At 42.9% G+C, this 22,120-nt stretch overlaps 1 protein-coding gene across 4 annotated transcripts in view; it reads right to left on the reverse strand.

The window, feature by feature from the left end:
* Positions 1–21,879, reverse strand: part of ITIH5 (inter-alpha-trypsin inhibitor heavy chain 5) — a 107,697-nt gene extending 85,818 nt beyond the window's left edge. For all 4 annotated transcript variants that reach the window (NM_030569.7, XM_011519713.4, NM_001001851.3 and 1 more), the window contains exons 1-2: positions 21,716–21,879; positions 10,544–10,588 (exon numbers count right to left, since the gene is read on the reverse strand). In NM_030569.7, the coding sequence (NP_085046.5) occupies positions 10,544–10,588; positions 21,716–21,805 (135 nt within the window). In that variant the 5' untranslated portion in view covers positions 21,806–21,879. The remainder of the gene's footprint in view (positions 1–10,543; positions 10,589–21,715) is intronic.

Below are 22,120 nucleotides of genomic sequence, written 5' to 3' on the forward strand. Positions count from 1 at the left end.
ATTCATCTTTGTAGCAGACTGTGCAAGAACTTCCAGTCTTGGTAATTCAAAAAAGCCAGAGACAAATGGAACAGCTTAACGAAAACGTTAGGGGGATGTGCATCTTTCTTAGAGAGACAGAAGGGATAAACATTTACAGTTCATTTAAGTAATGATCAAGTTTAAAAAAAAAATCTGAGTATTGTTGAAAGAGTTTTGCCTAAAAGAGGAAAAGAAACCTTCCAGTTTAGTTTGAGAAGGAATTATTTCAAAGTAGCGCTTCTCAAAGTGTGGTCCTCGGACCAGCAGCATCACCATCACCTGGAAACTTGCTAGAGATTCTCAGACTCCATCCAAATCCACAGAATCAGAAACTCAGAGGGTGGCCCAGCAAGCCGCAGTTTAACAAACCCTTCAGGTCATTCTAATGCCTGATCAAGCTTGAGAATGTCTCTTTTTACTAATTGAACTTTAAAATATATATTTCTTCATCTGCAAGTGAAAAGGGCTTGAATAAATCACCAAAATTACATCCACATCTGTGATCCACAGATTTACGGCAAAGCTAAAACTGAGGAATAAAACCTTTGGGTTTAGGAAATTATGTCTGAATTGAGAAGCTGTATTATACAGTACCATTTAATGGAAACCTAGTCTCTTCAGGACAAAATCTGTCTCTCTCCTCCAAAGCGATTAGGATTAAAAAAGAGACTCCAACATGTAGCTTCACCAAATGTTTCTGTTAAATGATCTCATTAAAAACATTTCATACATTTCAGTAAAGGCAATGAGGATTAGGCTGGGGATGATAATGATAATGATCTTAACAGCATGACAACCTGTGGGGTTTTTTTTAAAGTTAAAATTTGTATCTCATTATCTTTCAAAAAAAGAACCCCAAGGTGAATAAGACCATGAATTGAGAGGAAGTGTTTACTTTGATCTGTGTTATTTCTGGAACAGGTTTTCTTTCTAAATTATCCATGATTAAATATATTCTTTTATCTCCAAATCTAAACTGGTGTATAAGAAATGCCCCACGGCTGTGATCTTGTGAATTTGCGAAGCATCTAGAATACCACTGCACCCAGCTCTGATTTCTACAGATGCATGGGAAAGTAAATAGGAATCAATGCTTTAAAAAAAATCCCACAAACTCAGTATATTCTAGCTTTATCATTCTCTGCTTTATTTAAAATTTAAACTGGTGTTTTAAAAATTATCAAGTAACATATGCACATGGTAAAAACTTCTAATTATGCTGAATATAAAATGAAAATAGCAGTCTCCCTCCCACCCTGGATTCACAGTTCCATTTCCCAGAGACAATGTTTGACAACTTTTGTATATCCTTCCATAAATATATACTGTACTAATTTGCTTAATCTCACCTAGTGATATAGTTAGTTCATCTTTCTTTATCTGTGTCTTAGCTATCTCATGCTGCTTAACAAATCACTCTAAAACTCAGTGGTTTAAAACAGCAGCAATCTTTATGTTTCCTCTCAGGGTTTCTGTGGGTCATGAATTCCAGAAGGGCTTGGCTGGGAGGTCTGGCTTCTCTACAAAGGGTGGCTGAAGCTGGAATTGTGAGTTGCTGAGGCAGCCAAGGCTGGCATCTCTCTATCTCATGTTGTCCCTCAATCCCCTCTATATAGTCCTTCCAAATGGGCAAGTGTAGATGAACTCACAGCATGGGCCACTACACATGAGTCAGCTGGTCACCTGGTAGCCATAGGCTTTACCGGTCACCTGGTAGCTTTCCCAACAGCAAGGTGGAAGCTAGATGCCCTGTCATGCCCTGACCTCAAAAATCACAATGCATTACTTCTATCATACTCTACTGGTCAAAGCAGGCACAAAGGCACACTCAGTTTCAAAGGCAGAGGGCACAGACCCCCATCTCCATGGGAGGAATGGCACATTCAAGTGCTGCCATCTTTGGAAAATGCAATCTGCCACTGAACAAAAAATATCAACCTCCTTCCTTTTTAAAAATAGCTGCATAGTATTACATTTTATGGATGCATTAAATTTTAGTTAACCAGTTCTCCCATCATCCATCATCCATTTGTAATCATTTTTCATCATTTTTGGAAAGTCCTTTCAGATGTCCCTGCTCTCTCATTCATCTGTAGCAGGAGTAGGCAAGCTATGCCAGGCAGGCCACACTGTTTGTAAATAAAGTTTTATTGAAACACAGCCACATCCATTCATTTACATACTGTCTATGGCTGCTTTTCTGCTACAATGGCAGGAAAAACATGGAGAATAATTCAGCTGAGCCCAGCTGCTCCTGCCAAGGAGCCCGGCTCATGCAGGAAGCTGCACTGCCCCCTCCAGAGCAGCCATCTGCCAACTGAACACCCCAGAGCAACCTCCAGCAACACCACAGGCCAGAAGAATCACCCAGCTGAGCTCTGTCCAAATCCTTCCCCACCAAATGATGGGATAAAATCGTTGTTGCTCTAAGCCACTGAATTTTGTGGAAAATTTTTGTGCAGCAATAGAAAACGTGAACACCTGTCTAGTCTCTGTAGACATTCGAGTTTGCAACCCCACTTCAGTGTGACTGCTGGTGAGTGAAATTTAGTTATTTTATTAGTTATTTCCAACTCTATGTCATTTCTGATCTTTACACACTTTGTTATGTTTTGTAAACTAAACTTTCAGCATATTAAAAATATGCTTGAAATTTTTTTGGAAGAAGTTAAACTATGAAGATAAACTGTAAAGAAAAAGAGCTTCTTAAATATAAACTCTTCACTTTTCCAGTCTAGGCCAAAGTCATTCACTGTGTGACTTTGCCAGATCACACAGGTAAAAGGTAGTCAACCCCAATGGCCATCCAAAGCCTCGATTTCCAATCCTGTCTCTTTCAAAAAAGAACACAGTGGCCGGGCACAGTGGCTCATGCCTGTAATCCCAGCACTTTAGGAGGCTGAAGCAGGTGGATCACGAAGTCAGGAGATCAAGACCATCCTGGCTAACACAGTGAAACCCTGTCTCTACTAAAAAAAAAAAAAAATACAAAAAATTAGCCGGGCATGGTGGCGGGCACCAGCTACTCAGGAGGCTGAGGCAGGAGAATAGCGTGAACCTGGGAAGCAGAGCTTCCAGTGAGCGGAGATCACACCACTGCACTCCAGCCTGGGCGACTGAGCGAGACTCTGTCTCAAAAAAAAAAAAAAGAACACAGAGACACCCTGGCTAATTCAAGCCTTTTCGCAGTGATTATTGTTTGATAACCAATAAAATATAGAACTCCAAAGGTATAGTAAATATAATTCAGTCTTTGGTGCTAATTCAAAAGTTACTTGTGAACCTCAGTTATCATCCATTAAATTGTACACATTGAAGATAGAGGACATTAAACTGAATGTATTCTCTGAACTGTAGTCATATTCTGACACTTCAAAAATTCTTCTTGTCAATTTATCATGTAATTCTTTTACATAAAAGTAGAATACTAGTGAGGGGAGAGTATTAAGTTGACATCTTAGATAAGCAGAAGTTTACAGCTGTAGCTGCACACTGTTCCAAGTAAAATTTAGCTCCTTCTGCTAATAGTTCTTGCTCAGTAGTATTTTTAAAATAGATCAAAATCTTCTTCACTTAGTATGCTTGAGAATATTTTTAATGTCATGGTGATTTGTTCTTATTTATGAGATAAGAAATAATTTCATTTAATTTAAAATGTGAAAACTAGAAGATACCTGACAATATTAAGTTTATCACATTATCTTCTTATACCTTAAATTAAGTGTATAGATTTAGTAGAATTTTCCACAATATTACATCAAGAATATGAAGCTTAGTTTATGGGCCCAAGAGACAGGCTGAAAAAAGGTTCAAGAAACTATTTTAGTTTTTGTGCTTCTGCCCAGCTACAATTCTCCCAGGAGCCCCTGCTCTTACTGACATACCACAGCCTGGCCCTTCTCTTACAGTTTCCTTGGTGCAGAATCTACTAGATTCAATTAGGCACGAGTCTATCCCCCTCCCAGTTACCAACCCTTACCCCTGCCCTGGTAGATTATGGGATTGTAAACACGAAGAACAGAAGCCATGACTACTACTTACTCCTGTTGTCCTTCTCCTTCCCCTTCCCCTTCCCTTCTCCCTTCTTTTCATTCTCCTTCTTCTCCTCTTTCTTCTTTCTTCTTCCTTCTTTCTTCTTCCTCCTTTCTTCTTTCTTCCCCCTTCTTCTTCTTATTCTTTCTTCTTCCTTCTTCTTCTTTCCCTTCCCCTCCTCCTCCTCCTTCTTCTTTGCATTAGAAAGAGTTTCTATTTAGATCATGAGACATAATAGTGCTTAACATGTTGTTCTTTTTTTACCTACAGCTCTCAAGATAGAGGAAAACTATATATATATATGAAATCTAATCTTTTATGTCTAAAGAGATAGGGGATATAGGAATGGGTAAGTGGATAGATGGATAGATAGATAGATGGATAGATAGATAGGTAGGTAGATAGATAGATAGATAGATACCTTGACTATAAGACCTTCCAGTGTTGAGAAGAAAGATAAATCAGTGAGGTCTGCAAAAGTAAGAAAATGTTTTAAAACAGATGTAGTATTTACATGTGGTGAAAGAGAACAGAAAGAACACTCTAAGAACACGGAAGACATGGAAATGGAAATGAATCACAGCACATTCCCAGATCAATGACTAGAAAAGAGAGCATGCTGTGAGAAGAATATTGGACAGGCAGGTAACACAGGAAACAGACAACCCTAAAGAACAAGCGAGGCCTTTGAAAGGCAGAGGCTCATGAAAATGTGTCATGAAAGGAAGGATATAAAACAGTGGCCTCACTTTTTCCCAGTGCACGGTTCTTAAAAATCCAACATGCTTTCCATATTTCTATTTAAGTCATAACTTTGTTTTGGGATGTCCGCTGGAAAATAGTGGTAAAAAAAATCTTCCTGTGACATAAGATAATTTCTTCATTATTTTTTCCTACAAAGGCAACACAGATGGAAAAGTCATTTGAGGCAGGGAGTGTCTTAATTGCTCAAGGGACCCAAGCTTTGGGTATGACTCATGTGAGGCACTTAAAATCAAGCCACCCGAGGATGTCCTGAGTCACCCAAGATGCCATCTGGAAATGTGGTGGAGAAATGGTTGGGACGGCCTTTGCCAGCACTCAGGCCACAGTGCCTCTTCCTAGAAGATTAACCTTTCATTATTTTCTTTCAGTCTAACCAGTCTTTAGCAACCATGAGAAGTCATTATGGAGGTGGGAGAGAACTTTAGAAATCATCTAACTCTGCTCCCCTTTGTTTTAGAGAGAAGGCTGGAGCGTGGCAGTTGGCTGACTCCACGCACCAAATCTCTACTAACCCTTAATGCTTCTCCTTTCTGAGAAAAACAATACAGGGCCGGGCGTGGTGGCTCATGCCTGTAATCCCAGCACTTTGGGGGTCAAAGCTGGTGGATCACCTGAGATCAGGAGTTTGAGACCAGCCTGGCCAACATGGTGAAACCCCGTCTCTATTAAAAATGCAAAAAATTAGCCAGGTGTGATGATGGGTGCCCATAATCCCAGCTACTCAGGAGGCTAAGGCAGGAGAATCACTTGAACCCGGGAAGAGGAGGTTGCAGTGAGCCAAGATAATGCCATTGCACTCCAGCCTGGGTGACAAGAGCAAAACTCCATCTCAAAAAAAAAAAAAAATACAGCCCATGTTGTTATTGAATGAAACAGGAGAAAAAGGCACTTCCCCAACTGCTAGATTTACCACCTCGGGGAAATCATTTTACCCCTCTGTAGACAGGAAATGGCATCGGTTCTGAATCACCTACTTGTGCTAATACAGTCTACGTAGTGATGTTTCATTATATTTAGGGGAGAAGGAAAACAAAATGCCATTTTTATTTTTATACAAGAAAACCCTCCCCCTCCCCCGCCCCATTCTATACACTTCCTGAACAGGATGCACACAATGGTCAGAGTTGGGCACAGGCACAGACACACATATGACTGGTCCTCAATGAGGTATGATGCCCAGAGTCATGCTACCTGCTGTATTGACTGTATTTTCTTGTTTTCTATATTCTTGATGCTCTGGCATTTGGGGCTTTGATCCTGGAAAGACCGTCCCTCCCAGGGCTGGCTTGTTCCTAGGAACAGCAGACAACCCTGCTGCAAGCATACCTTTGATATATAAACCGACCAATCCATAGCCACACATCCAACCATCTCCCATATCAAACTCATGCACCTCGGCTGGGCACGGTGGCTCACGCCTGTAATCCCAGCACTTTGGGAGGGCAGGGCAGGCGGATCACCTGAGGTCAGGAGTTTAAGACCAGCCTGGCCAACATGGCGAAACCCATCTTTACTAAAAATACGAAAATTAGCCGAGCGCGATGATGCATGCCTGTAATCCCAGGTACTCGGGAGGCCTCTAATCCCAGGTGCTCGGGAGACTGAGGCGCAAGACTCACTTGAACCCAGGAAGTGGAGGTTGCAGTGAGCCGAGATCGCACCACTGGGCTCCAGCCTGGGCCACAGAGTGAGACTCTGTCTCAAAATAATAATAATAATAATAACAATAATAATAAATAAAACTCATGCGCCAAGCCAATACTCCCCCTACCCTAAATCTCCCCAGGACCAGGTACCTGACAACTAGAGACCAACCCTACAGCCAATCCTAAACCTCCTCAGCCTACCTACTACCCTGCCTTGCCCATTCCTTCCCATGAAAACCCCAATGCAGGCTCTGAGACACACACTGTCCTCTGCACCTTCTGCCCCTGACCCACCATGGTGCTTCCCCATGTGTCCTGGCATGGTATGCTGCTGCCCCTGCCTCCAGGGATCTGTGAGTATGAAATTCCTCCTTCATGTCAGTCATTTCTCTGTCTGTGTATCTTACCACACTCAATAGAAACAAACCCTGAGCACAAACTGTAGAACACCTGCTGCAAAGCAGACACCAAGACAGACCCTGCAGTCAGGAGGTTAAATGATGGCAGCGAATCCTCTTGGGAAACCCAGGCCAGGATCCATTCAGCACCATGGAAATTCACACACAAAGATCCCCCTGCTTTCCAAAGAGTAAATATTTTGTGTGTATGTATGCCAGGGAGCTTCATAAAAAGGGTATCTAATTAATTCAGAATAAAATCAAACAAATTCCTGTGGTCCTGGCAGTGTTACGGGAGTACCAGCTGTTGCCATCCACATTCTATTCATTAATTCAAGCACGGAACATTCAGAGGATGACAACTGGAGGGAGATGGCAAGAATGCAGGCTAGAAGGAGACTCATAGGATGAACTGAGCTCCAGAGGCAAGCAGGAGGCGCATCACGCAGGGTTTCACACATCCTTGGAGCTTATCCCACGGGTGATGTGGAGTCACTGAAGACATGCACGCAAGAGAGTGATGCGCCAGGTCTACCACTGGAAAAATCATTCTAGTACCAACTGGATGGTCAGTAAAGTTCATGTTAAAAATTTATGATAGTTGTAAAAGTAAGACTTTCAAAATTCTAAGAAATTTCTAAGAAAATCTAAGAGGTTATATAAATGGTCTAAGCTAAGGAGTCAAGAAAATCTTTGTACCCTTAGAGGCTACGTGTACAAAGCCTCTTTTTCCTTTCCTTTGAAAGGAAAACATAAACTACTTATTACTTAGGAACTGAGCACTTTTATGTGGCAAACATACCAGAAAGAAAGTTAATAAATGATAGATTCAGAGAGGCATTCTTCCAGTTTAGAAGACAGAAGGTATCTATCACATACAAAGGTCTCTGATAAATTGACAATGAGGTGGATAAAAAACACAATAGAAAGATGGGCAAAGGACCTGGAAAAAAAAAAGCAATTCACAGGAGAACGACTCTGAATGGCTAACAAATATAATTTAAAATGTCCAAATCCTTGTTATGGAGAATGGTTTGAGCAATAAAAGAAAAAAATTCCAAATTCGTACATAGGCAGGGAAATGCAAGTTAAAGGAACAATGAGATATCACTTCCTAAGTAAGAGATTGGCAAATTTAAAAGAGTAATTATATCAGTTGCTGGCAGAAATGTGTGTATTCATCATTGCTGATAGACATGGTATGAATACAGATAGTGTTAAGAGTAATAGTATTCAAAAATTAATCTGACATCTATCAAAAAAAAGGTTGTTTTTGAGACAGAGTCTTGCTCTGTTGCCCAAGCTAGAGTGCAGTGGTGCAATCTCAGCTCACTGCAACCTATGCCTCCTGGGTTCAAGCAATCCTCCCGCCTCAGCCTCCCGAGTAGCTGGGATTACAGGCATACACCACCACGCTTGGCAAATTTTTGTATTTTTTAGTAGAGATGGGGTTTCACCATGTTAGCCAGGCTGGTCTTGAACTCCAGACCTCAGGTGATTCACCCCCCTCAGCCTCCCAAACTGCTGAGATTACAGGCGTGAGCCATCGAGCCTGGCAAAATTTAAAATGTATATGCAGTTTGAATTGTAAGTCGTAGAATTAAAAATACCCACATAAAAGAAGAAATGAAAGTGTTTTTTGAAGGATTGTGTACAGGGTGAAAAAATCTGGAAATAAATTGAGAGTTCATCAATAACAGAAAGTTTAGTAAATTATAATACATATAAATACAGATTTAAATACATATAACTGAGAGGCCCATTTGGTGTATTAGTTAAGAGCATGGACTCAGACACTGAACTGGACTCAAATCCTGGCTCTACCACCTCTTCCCAGCTGTGTCGTCTTGGGAAAATTACTCTCTCTGAATTTGTTTTCTCATCTGTAAAATGCCTCAAATAATTGTTATAAGAGTAATTGAGGGCCAGATGCAGTGGCTCACGCCTGTAATCCCAACACTTTGGGAGGCCGAGGTGGGCGGATCACCTGAGGTCAGGAGTTTGAGACCAACCTAGCCAACATGGTGAAACCCCATCTCTACTAAAAAAATAGAAAAATTAGCCAAGTGTGGTGGTGCATGCCTGTAATCCCAGCTACTCAGGAGGCTGAGGCAGGAGGATCTCTTCAACCCAGGAGGCAGAGGTTGCAGTGAGCTGAGATCACGCCACTGCACTCCAGCCTGAGCAACAAGAGTGAGACTCTGTAAGCATTCGGTTGACATGAGCCGTCACATGCACCCATGGTTTTAGAGCAATGATCAGAGGTCTCCCATATGCAAATGTGCCTCGGGTTCCCCTGCTGCATTCTATTTTTCAGTGGCACTTGTCATCATCTCAATTATCAGTATGCTTACAATTTACATGTATGTATGTATTGCTGGGAGGCTATTCTCCATGAATCTCTGGTGTTTCTGCACAATTTGCAAGCAGAGACTCTAGCTGCCTTTGCTGGGAATTACCTTTACAAACGTATAGTGAACAGCCTCAGAAGACAGGTTCCCCCTTCAGGGAAGAAGACAGTTTGGCTTAATGTGCAGAATAATAAAGAAAATATCTCCCTCCAGGAGCAAAGACCAGGCAGGCTTAGTGCTCATTATTAAAGAGTCGCGTTCCCTAAGTTAAGGGCTCCTTTCACACAATGCAAACCAACTGCATGGCAGGTGTCATCTGGCCATGTCTATCACCTTCTGGGAACCAGGGGAATGGCACACATGCTTTGACTACTGCTATTACTGTGAGTAATAAATCATCCTTTGTCTCTGACCCAGGAGTCTCCTGTTTTCTGCTAGTATCCATGAAATGGTAACAAACTAGCTTATTAGCTTGTAAGTAGCTTTAATCTCAGCCCCTTCACAGTTCTTGACATGTTTAGGTACATATGTCATTGTCTAGGATTATGTGAACATGGAGAAAACATGAAAGAAGGAATACTAGGCAAATGAATTTGGGGTATGGGGAGGTAAGATTGGGAGGATCAGAAGAAGGAAAGGAGATGAGAAAACCAAGCAAAAAAAAAATTTTTTTTAATTCAAAATCTCAATCCAAACAAAGATAGTCATGATTGTGATATTGGTAATGACAAGAAATCTGAATCCACTCAAACACCAGCCAGGTGCAGGGAGGGCTAGGATAAATGCCTCACCAGAGTCTAAAGGCATGTCTCTACATTTTGATATTTCACTCCATGCACAGTGGTAAGGAAGAACTGAGGTAGTTTCAAATAAGCTCTTAGAGCTTCTGAACATTTGCCCCGGTCCCAATCTCTTAGCCTCCAGCAGCATTGAGAGCCTATCCAACTTTCATCACGTGATGCTTTAGTCTACAAATGTCAATTCTTTGGTTGCTTTAGTTGTTTACTTCACAACAAAGCTCTCATTTCCTGAGTAAGGATGTCATAAAAATAAATAAAAGTTATATTTAGGCTTTAAAAAAAATAAACCTGCAAAGACCTTTGTGTTTTTAGTTCTACTGAAATAATCAGGTCTCCTTCCAGAAAAAAGAAAAAAAAAATCCACTTAAAGAAAGCCTTATAAAAGACTCAACTATGCTGTTTCATCTCAGAATTTTTCTACAAGCAACTTTATATGTTTTGGAGGATCTGCAAGCAAAGTGGATACCTGGTTCAAAATAAATAGAAGAATGAGGGAATGGACTTTCAAGATGCACCATGAATATACCTACCAGCCTCTGCAACAGTCTGACTTGCCTCGGGACCCTGAGTCCATCCTAGAAAAGAGAAGAGACTGTTAAAAAGGTGATTTTTAAAAGAGAAGAGACATGAAATATGATTGTGAGGTCATTCTCACATGAGTTATACAAGGGGGTTAAAATCTATTCAGATTCACCAAAAGCTGTATCTATCCTGAAAAGCAGTTTTGACTTTTTATCAGGGAGTTTGTTTCGAGGCCAGAATTAGAATTCATCCCTGTCAGATCTGGTTGACTCTTAACCCATAATGTCACACTATCTCATCGCCTGAGCATTCTTCTATCTGTAAGAGGAGATGGATGAAATGACAAGAACAAAAAGATAGAGTATTTGTATTCTGTTTCATTTTATTTGGGGCCTCAAGTTAAACTCTTTGCTACTGTGTCTATTACAGTAAGTAAAGGTATTCAGTCTTAATTCCAGTGGGCTCACTATTCAACTTAAAACTCCAGGAAACTCTGGAAGCAAAACTGAACTTATCTTGAATTTTCTTCATGGTGTCTTTTCTGGATGATTTCTTATATGCTTCCACATGCCGGGGAGGGATGCGGGAAAGTGATGAAATCGTCTTTTTTTAGACATGGCCTCGCTGTGTTGCTCAGGTTGGAGGGCAGTGGTGCGATCACAGCTCACTGCAGCCTCAAACTCCCTGGCTCAAGCCATCCCCCGACTTCAACCTCCCAAGCAGCTGGGACTACAGGCATGAGCCGCCAGATCGGGGTCATTTTTGTATTTTTTGTAGAGACAGGGTCTCGCTATGTTGTCCAGGTTGATCTCATACTCCTGGGTTCAAGCGAACTTCTCACCTCAGCCTCTCAAAGTGCTGAGATTTATAGGCGTGAGCCACTGTGCCCAGCCAAAAGATTTTTTTTAAAAAAAACTCATTAATAATTAATTAACTAGACACTCTGGACTAATTTAAAGGTCTTAGCTGATTATATGGATGTTACTCATGGCAAATCTCATTAACTAATAGAAGTGTAAACTATTGTTGCTGGGAGTAATAAGTTTTCCTTCCTTTCTGGAAGGCAGTTTTACAATGTAGATCAAAAACATAAGAAATATGCCTAGACTTCATGTCTATTTTTCTTTTTTTTTTTTTTTTTGAGACGGTCTCGCTCTGTTGCCCAGGCTGGAGTGCTGTGGCATGGTCTTGGCTCACTGCAACCTCCGCCTCCCAGGTTCAAGCGATTCTCCTGCCTCAGCCTCTGGAGTAGCTGGGATTACAGGTGCCTGCCACTACGCCCCGCTAATTTTTGTATTTTTAGTAGAGATGGAGTTTCACCATGTTGGCCAGGCTGGTCTCGAACTCCTGACCTCGTGATTCACCTGCCTTGGCCTCCCAAAGTGCTGGGATTACAGGCGTGAGCCACCGCGTTCGGCCTTTTTTTTTTTTTTTTTTTTTTAGACGGAGTCTTGTTCTGTTGCCCAGGCTGGAGTGCAGTGACGCCACCTTGGCTCACTGCAATCTCCAACTCCCGGGTTCAAGCGATTCCCCTGCCTTAGCCTCCTGAGTAGCTGGGACTACAGGCATGCACCACCACGCCCGGCTAATTTTACTTTTGTATTTTAATAGAGACGGAGTTTCACCATGTTGGCCAGCATGGTCTGGATCTCCTGACCTCGTGATCCGCCCGCCTCTGCCTCCCAAAGTTCTGGAATTACAGGCATGAGCCACCGTGCCTGGCCAAGTTTAACTTTTTACGATACTGCCAAACTGTTTTCCAAAGTGGCTGTAACATTCTGCATTCCCACCAGTATGCAATCTTTTAATTTATAAATTCTACTTACAGAAAAGGGAAGAAAATACTGATAGAAAAAAAAAATGAACACAAAAGAAAATTCTTGGAAACTTTTAAAACAATTGCTCATAATTAGAAAAAGCCTAAAATGCCCTGAAAATGTGGTTCGGTTAAGTAGACTATGATACATTGATTAATTACCACACAGCTACTGAAAATAAGGACCTGCACCTACATTTACTAACATGAATCAACATTCATTTTACTGGACTTCGAGGTTGTTCTCCAAATATATTCCTAGCTCTCTGCCAGAGGGATTAGTCCTTGTGAGTAGACAGGGTCATGTGACTAGTTCTGGCCAATAAGTTATGAATGTAAGTAACATTAGTCCCTTCTGAGCCAAGCATTAAGTTAATGTTCAGTGTCCCAGAACTGCCTTTTCTTCAGCACAGTAATTAGTAATGTTTGGGGTAATGACTGCTCCATGAAGCCCAAGTTCACAGTGACCAACAGGTGCAGAGCTGCCCCACTGCTGACCCAAGATGGACAAGGTGTATAAGCAAGACATAAGAGTTTGTTGTTTAAGACATTGAGAATTGGGGATTGCCGGATACCACAGCGTAACCTAGTCTATCCTGAGAGATATGTTCATGACACAATTTTAAGTGATGAAATCAGGTAACAAAACACTATATGTAACATGATCCCATTTTTGTAAGTGTAAGTGTTTTTATGTATAGAATGTGCATCAAAGTGCTAATCAATGGCTGTTACCTTTGATTGACATCTTGTTCTTTAAACTTTTCTGTATGACCTCAAGTCTTAACAAAATGCAGATATTTCCATTTTGAAGACTAAAAGTATAAGAGAAACTCTTTTAACCCCATTCCCTGCTTTATCTCCCCACCCAAAATATATATATACATTGTAAGTTGCCATTCTAAGCCATTATAGAGTCTACTATTCAATAGAACATGGGATGGAGAAAAATAGTACAGGATTTAGGCTGACATCCACCCTGACTCCAAGTAAGAACCTATTGATGAAAGAGTCAAACTCTGTAAAATATTTGAAGAGATTTATTCTGATCCAAATATCAGTGACCATGGCCCATGACACAGCCCTCAGAAGATCCAGAGAATACGTGCCCAGGGTGTCGGGGCACAGCTGCTTGGTTTTATACATTTTAGGGAGACATGAGATGTCAATCAAATACATGTAAGACATACATTGGTTCAGTCCAGAAAGGCAGGACATCTCGAAGGTGGTGGGGGCTTCCAGGTTATACGTAGATGTAAAAGTTTTCTGATTGGCAACTGGTTGAAAGAGTTATTATCAATAGAAAGAAATCTCTGGGTTATAATAAGAGGTTGTGGAGACCAAAATTTTATCATGCAGATGAAGCCCCCAGGTAGCAGGCTTTAGAGGGCATCGACTGTAAATGTTTCCTATCAGACTTAAGATCTGTGTTGATGTTCATGCTGGAGGGGTACAAGGAGGCATGTCAAACCCCCACTTCCCAGACCCCCACTTCCCGTGACGGTCTGAACCAGTCTTTCAGGTTAAACTTAGAGGGCCCTGGACTAGAGGAGGAAGTCCATTCAGTTGGTTGGCGGGCCTTCAAATTTTATTCTTGGTTTACAAACCAAACACTTCCTAGGAGTATATCGGTTTTGGAATTCTAAAATGAGGTGAGGCTGGGCACGGTGGCTCATGCCTGTAATCCCAGCACTCCGGGAGGCTGTGGTGAGTGGATCACCTGAGGTCAAGAGTTCGAAACCAACCTGGCCAACATGGTGAAACCTCATCTCTGTTTTAAAAAGACAAAAATTAGCTGGGCGTCGTGGCACACACCTATATTCCCAGCTACTTGGGAGGCTGAGGCAGGAGAATCTCTTGAACCCGGGAGGTGGAGGTTGCAGTGGGCCGAGATCATGCCACTATACTCCAGCCTGGGCAACAATGTGAGAGTCCATTTCAAAAAAAAATAAAAATTAAAAGTAAATTAATTAATTAAATAAAATAAAATGAGGTGAGATGCACAAGAGACTGTGAAAGGAAGGCCATCATAGGGACCCTGGGCAAGTTCTTTATCAGTCTTGCATGATCATCTCTTGCCCTTCCCTCCCTAAATTGTGGAGCAGCCTGGGGACCACTTAAAATAACTATGGTCAGAAGGAAAGCCCAGCCCCTCTCAGGTATTAAGTTCCCTGATTGATCTAAAGTATTTTCTTTGAAGTTTTCTCTTTTGTAAAATAGGTTTTCTGAGAAAATAAGCATGCTTCAAGGAGAACAAGAGAAGCTGGTTTTTCATTTTTGAGATGCCTATCTGATGTCTCAGGGGATCACTATGGCCACACTTCAGTCCAAGTTTCAACTCAGCTTGACCCAGAATCAAAACTTCCCAGTACACGTACATTGCTGGTGCCAGCTAGGATTGGAAGTGCAAATGACATTAATACCATCATCGTTTTTAGTTAAGAATTCCTGATCCTTTTTATTGTTTGAGTGTTTTCCCGGTGCCTTTTAAGAAACGAGGGGTGGAGTCTGGCTACAGAAAAGTAACTGACTCCCAGCTTCAGGCAAAACTACCATAAATAGCCATCTTAGAGCTTCCACTGACTTCCTTGAGGCCCCAAATCATGGACTTAAGAGATGGTGCTACCCAGCTGAGGTTATTTCTCCAGCATCAGAACAGAAGATATCCAGACCACAACATTTATTGAGAAAAACGTAAGCCACCATCTCTGCCACCAAGGACCATACTCTCTAATTTTCAAAAATATATATGCTCACGAAAGCACAATAGACAAAGTGAGTTTTATAAGTTACAAAAGAAATAGATGAAAGAAGAGATCACTATGCTCTTGAGTGACCGTGAAAGGCTTTATGAAGAAGACAGGGCTGCAGCTTAGCTGTGGAGATGTGTCTTGGAGTGGGATGAAAGGGAAGAAGAAAGTGAAAGAGAATCAGGTTCAACACAGGAACAATCCTCAGAAAATCAACTTCATAGACCTGCACCTGCCTCTAACACAAATGGACCCAGCAACATCACCACCAGGAAACAGAAGGTGAGGTAAAGGCTTCCTTAGGACGAGCATGTGTCAGTAACATCATCAGAGCTGTGGAGTGTGGAATCTCCAAACCTACCCCGTTATCAATTAGTGCAACTATAGGTGGGAAAAAAAACCTGCCAGTGCCGCTTAAATGTTTATAATTTGACTGATAGGGGTTGTGTTTTTCTTCCCAGGATCCACCGGAGCATCAGATCATGACTGAGGGAGGAAGAGAGATAGGTACTTGAGTCATCTCGAGAGTCCATCCATGGGAAAGAATGGGAGGCAGGAGGAGAGAAACAAAGCCTAATTCTTGAGCACAGACACTCCACCTTTGGTATGGATGCTGTAATGACCCGGTTGACTTAAAGACAGATGTAAAGGCGAGGTTTGCATCCTCCATTCTTCTTTTGAGCTATAACATTGTATCCGTGACTCTAGGTCCCATAACACAGGTGTCTCCATCGCCGGGGCGTGGACAGGTACAGGTTGGTGGCCCATTAGGAATCGGGCCACACAGCAGGTGAGCAGTGGGCGAGCCCGCATTACCGGCTGAGCTCTGCCTCCTAATGCTCCAGGCACTAGATTCTCATAGGAGGCAAACCCTATTGTGAACTGTGCATGCAAGGGATCTAGGTTGTGTTCTCCTTACGAGATTCTTACTAATGCCTGGTGATTTTAGGTGGAACAATTTCATCCTAAAACCATCCCTCCCACCCCCATTCCGTGGAAAACTTGTCTTCCACAAAACCAGTCCCTGGTGCTAGAAAGGTTGGGGACTGCTGCCATAACAGATCCAAGAGCCATTACACCAAGGCCAGCTTCAGCCAAACACCTTCAACTGACTGAAGTCATGCGTTCCTAGAGGGATCTGTACAAGGAATTTATCTACCACCTGGCCCCATTCTTCTAAGGGCATTCTGAAATGCTGAAACCCAAACCGAGAAACTTAAGGGCCAATTACCTTAGAGATCTGCTATAGGACCTGGAACAGAACAAAGGGCTAGATGTTGGAAAGTCACATGAGATGCCATTTATCATGTGGGCTGAGAACGGTTAGTCTGAGAATATTCCCATTTGGGTAATTCTATATCACTCACCCCAAATTTTTCTTCCTTGAAAGTAATGTTGCTGCAAGTTTGTTTAGCTATTAATCATTTGCAATTTGGGATGCCTATCACCTTGGTAATGGAAGAAGAAACCTGATATTACAGCTAAAATTCCAAACAATTTCCAGAAAGATTGTTTTTTAAGTTTTTTTGAGGCAGAGTCTCAACTCATACCACCCAGGCTGGAGTGCAGTGGCATGATTACAGCTCACTGCAGCCTTGACTACCTGGGCTCAGGTGATCCTCCCACCTCAGCCTCCCAAGTACCTGGGACTACAGGTGCATGCCACCATGCCCAGCTAATTTTTGTACTTTTAGTAGACATGGGGTTTCAACCATGTTGTCCAGGCTGGTCTTGAACTCCTGGGCTCAAGCTATCTGCCCACCTCAGCCTCCCAAACTGCTGGGATTACAGGTGTGAACCACTGTGCCTGGCCGATTAAAATTTTTTAAAAGCAACTGCCATTAGGCAAGTCACCCTGTTTATTTTATTTACCTATAAAATATCAGGGGTGGGGTGCGGTGGCTCAAGCCTGTAATCTCAGCACTTTGGGAGGTCAAGGCAGGCCGATCATCTGAGATCAGGAGTTCGAGACCAGCCTGGCCAACACGGTAAAGCCCCGTCTCTACAAAAATACAAAAATTATCCAAGTGTGGTGGTGTGTGCCTGTAGTCCCAGCTACTTGGGAGGCTGAGGCAGGAGAATTGCTTGAATCCGGGAGGCGGAGGTTGCAGTGAGCCAAGATCATGCCACTGCGCTCCAGCCTGGGCAACAGAGTGAGACTGTCTCAAAAAAAAAAAGAGAGAGAGACAGACAGAGAAAAGAAAAGAAAAATCAGGGAACTGGATGTTTCTTGTGGGAAAATAATGAGTGGTTCAGAACCCTCCTCCTAAAAAAAGCTCAGGTCTTCATCCTCTGTCCCCCATCTTCCTAAATCGACCTACTCCACTGCTCCTCAGATCCAGAAACACCCGGCTGGCATTCCCAGCAGCTACGCTGATGACATGATAAGCAAGATCGCCTTATATGTGAGCATCCAAGGACTTGGGGAAAGTGCTAGTTAGGAACACCAAGTCACACACAGCTCATCACCCAGTTCTCAGGACTTCCCCACCCTTCCTTTCCACCCTCAAGAAATGGCATATGGCTGCTTTGGGAGTGACCAAATCCCTGGAATTTCTCCCACAGCATACTCCTTCCGCACTCTGCCCTACAAACTCATTTCAACAATCCAGCCCTGCACATAAGGGAGACGTTATTGAATGGCCAGAAGCTTACAAAATCTTTCACTGGCTTTGTTTTTTAAAGAGTTGAAAAAAAATAGCTATCTTGATTTTTGTTGTTTTTTTCCCCCCCAAATGCAAAAATTTGCTTCTCAGTGAGAATTTGTAAGAAATTAAAAATCTGGAAATGTCCAATTCAGGGAATTAGAAATGTATCACCACAATAGATGTTTGAATTATGACTAGCATATATTGCACATCACCTATGTGCCATGAGCTACAAATACAAATCACATTTAAATAAATTCAACTAAATTATAAAAGTGAACATGGCTTGCTGTTTGAAGGATTTGCTGAGAGCCCCAGCTTTGGTGTTCGGCACACCTACACTCCAATCCAGGCTTTGCACATAGTAGGTTGTTGCAGCTGTCACTTCTCAGAAAGGACTTCCTGGTTGTCCTTTGTCAAATAAGTACATTGAGACATTACAGCGGTAGTCAGAGACTTAACTAGGCTGTGCATAAATAGTAAAAGCAGCTAATATTACCTAAGTGTTTACTATATGCAAATGCTTTGCCTGAATTAACTCATTTAATCCTCGAACAACCATAAAAGCAGAACTGTTATTTTTATAAAAATTAAATTATTATTTACATGCTAATAAAACATAAGCTCCAGGACACCTCACTTGTGCAAGCCCCTAAAAATGCGTGATGTTTGTGGTGCCTGTCAGATTGTCAAAATGTGTAATTTGTTGTGCTTTCTTTATCTTTCTAAATAAATAGTCATTTTAGCACCTAATTTTGTAGTTATAATTTGATACTTTTTTCCTTCAAGAGGGTCCTGCAAATTGTATAAACTTTACTCTCCTCCCAAAGCCTAGATCCACCCCTGCCTATGTAGTAGGAATTATTAACAACTCTATATTGCAGATGATGAAACTGAGACCCAGAGAGGTTAAGTGACTTGCCCAGGTACACACAGGCAGTAAGTGATGGGGTCCAGATATGAGCCCAGGCAGTCCGGCACCACATGGAGTACTCAACCAGAATACATTATTGCCTCTTATTATTTTCACATAAAGCTCCTAGCAAACTCCCTGAGACATTGGGACATTACAGATACTCAATAACTGGTGGCTTTTACTATTTTGTCAATCTAAAACTGCTTTGATAATAATGGGAATATAACTCTATCTTTAAAGACACCATATAAATTTAAGCTAACAAAACAGATAAGTCTGTAGCAGACAGTTTTTATACAAGGGATTTTCTTTTAAATACTAATTTCCCAAAATATCCTTTAAAAATACTACTATTCAAAGTGTGCGGCTAGGCACAGTGGCTTATGCCTGTAATCCCAGCACTTTGGGAGGCCAGGGCAGGTGGATCACTTGAGCTCAGGAGTTTGAGACCAGCCTGGCCAACGTGATGTATTTTTGTCTCTATTAAAAATACAAAAATTAGCCAGGCATGGTGGAGTGCACCTGTAATCCCATCTGCTTGGGAGGCTGAGGCATGAGAATCACTTGAACCCAGGAGCCAGAGGTTGCAGAGAGCAGAGAGCCTGCCACTGCACTCCAGCCTGGGCGACACAGCGAGATTCCGTCTCAAAAAAAAAAAAAAAACTAAAATGTGTTCCATGGACCACCTGCATCAGAATCATCTGCGCCCCATCCCAAACCCAATGGATCTAAACCAATGGAAGTGGAACTCAGGAAGCTGAATGTTTAATGAACACCCCAAGTGACTTTTTCCACCCCAAGGGTGAAAACCACTGCTTTTAGGAGTCATTCCACTATGGGTTACTGAGTACCCACTGTCTACAGATGGGGTGAAGGGTGAGAGGTGAAGGAACTTGAATCTAAGGTGTTACTGGTATATTTCCAATTACAGGTGAATGACAAATAACTGCAATGCAAGTTAATAGTCATATTCAGCTATATTAAAATTTGCATAAGATTTGCATAGACTTACATTTTTCAAATTAAGTTTACATACAATTTTAAAGACCATAATGATTGAGAATAGAGTGCTCATTACATTCCCAGGTTCTGTTCTAAGATTTAAGTATATTAATTGTTTCACTTTTCAAAATCCTAAGTAATTGCATCATCCCCATACAGAGATAGAGGCTCACAAACGTTAAGTAACTCCTCAGTAAGTGCAGAGCCAAGATTTGAACCCAGAATTCTGGTGCTAAAGCCTATGCTCTCAAACCCTATATCACAAAAACTAAATATAAAAAAGAACGGATTAGGGATAAAAGGTAAAATTGCAAGTTCATAGAACTTTATACCTTGGATTTTTTTTCCTGATTTAGTCATTTTCAAGATAAATAAATATTGTGCTGGGTTGAAGACAGCATGAAATCACTAAAAGAGGTCAAGCCATGTTTTTTTATGACAGCAAGTCCATAGACTGTGAAGCCTACTTGAACTTGGTATATGCTAGAGTTTAAACAGCCTTCCTAGTTCAGACACAGAATCTTTGTTTCAGTCCATCCCACACTGTCCTGTCTCCACACCCCCAAAAAAGTTTCAAGATCTTTACCCTAAATTCCTTCACTCAGCATGTCAGCAGCATGAGTCTAAGACCATGGCCAGCATTAAGTGCTGACAGTGTTTTAAGCACTTGGGTGTCATAATGCATTCAGTCCTCACAACCCTATCATTTCTCCACATTTCACAGAAGAGGAATATAAGGCCGAAAGGCACTTGATCAGGGTCCCAGAGCTGATAAGTGACAGAATCAAGAATCAAGTGGTCCCAGACATCCTGGTACCAAGCCCATGCCTTCAGCCATCTACTAAAACATCTCCCAGTTATTGAGCGTCCACTGTATACCAGGTGCTTAACACAAATTAGCTGAGTCCTTGCAAGTTTGCTCAAAAAGAGCCGCATTCCCTGCCCTGACCAACGAGGACATGAAGGCTCTGAGAGATTAAAGGGCTTGCCCGGAACACACAACTAAAGCCCAGCCTGTCTCTGCATCCAAAGCCTGCACTTTTCCAACATCACTACGATGCCTCCTGGGATTTTATTAGCTACTCCCCCCCTAGAAGGAAGTATCATTACTACCACTTTACTGTTAAGCACATTCACAGGACAGAGAACATGAAGATAACTGTCTTCATATTTAGGCAGTTGGGCTTCAAAACTGCTCTTCAAAACAGGGGCTGGAAAAGGGAGAAAAGGTCCGCCTACTTGTATCTTCCTCCCACCGTGCACAAACACGCTGGAAGCTAAACGGCTTAAATATTTAAATGGCATGTGTGTGAAAGCACTTCTACTTTGTGACAGGGCCATGTTGCACATTAGCTCTCAATGCTATTTGTGTGAACCCGCTTCATACTTTTTAAAGACAAAAATGCTCTATTCATCATTTTATTGACATTTCATATTTGCAGGTTTTATTCGCCTGCGAGGTTAAGACATTTGAAACACAAATCCTGACAAACGCACAGACCAGCAACTCGAGGAACTCAGACGCTTTGGCTCTCGGTGCCACCTTTAAATGCTAAACCACCGGTAGGTAGTCGCTAAATGGGAAAGTCGTGTTCTCCCGGTTTTCAGGTGGGAAAAGCTGAGGCTCCCAGGAGTCTAGAACTCCTCTCATATTGCCTTTCTCCCTGGATCAACTGGGAATGATGATAACAGCAGACTGCCCCCCACGCGTGATAAGGAAAAAACCTTGTAATTATAATAACTTTTGGAGCTACCTCAGAAATTAACAACGACGAACAGAAATCTGCGCAATCAACAGGAGCCAAGAAGAAAAACTCGGCTCCGCAGGACAAGTCCCGGGCACAGTTCTGCAGGAAGCCTCAGGCCAGATCAGGCACCGCGGCTCACACAGAGGTGACGCACGAGTGACCCACAGAGAGGGACCCCTGGGCCTCTGGTGGGGGCCTGGGAGACGGTCGAAGGGGGCCCGGGCAGAAGCTCCGCGGCCGGGCCGGCGGAGGGAAGGGGGCGGCCGCGCCCGGGACCCGGCTCCCCTCGGCTCCACTTACCTGCTCCGAAGAGTGGCCCCAGCTCTGCGCCTCTTCCTGCGACCCCACACACAGGGACAGCCCCAGGCACAGCCCCAGCAGCAGGAGCATGGCGGGGCGAGGGCGCGGGACGCTCGGGGACCCGGCGGGACACGCTTTGCAGCGCCCAGGGCTCCAGCCACTGCGGGACGCTCTCGGGGCCGCCCACCCCGCGGTCCCAGCCCGGACCCCGCCCACCCCACGGACCCAGCCCGGACCCCGCCCACCCCGCGGTCCCAGCCCGGACCCCGCCCACCCCACGGACCCAGCCCGGACCCCGCCCACCCCACGGACCCAGCCCGGACCCCGCCCACCCTGCGGTCCCCTCCTGGACTCCGCCCACCCCACGGACCCAGCCCGGACCCCGCCCACCCCACGGACCCAGCC

This window comes from Homo sapiens, chromosome 10 (genome assembly GCF_000001405.40).
Source record: "Homo sapiens chromosome 10, GRCh38.p14 Primary Assembly".
Lineage (NCBI taxonomy): Eukaryota > Metazoa > Chordata > Mammalia > Primates > Hominidae > Homo > Homo sapiens.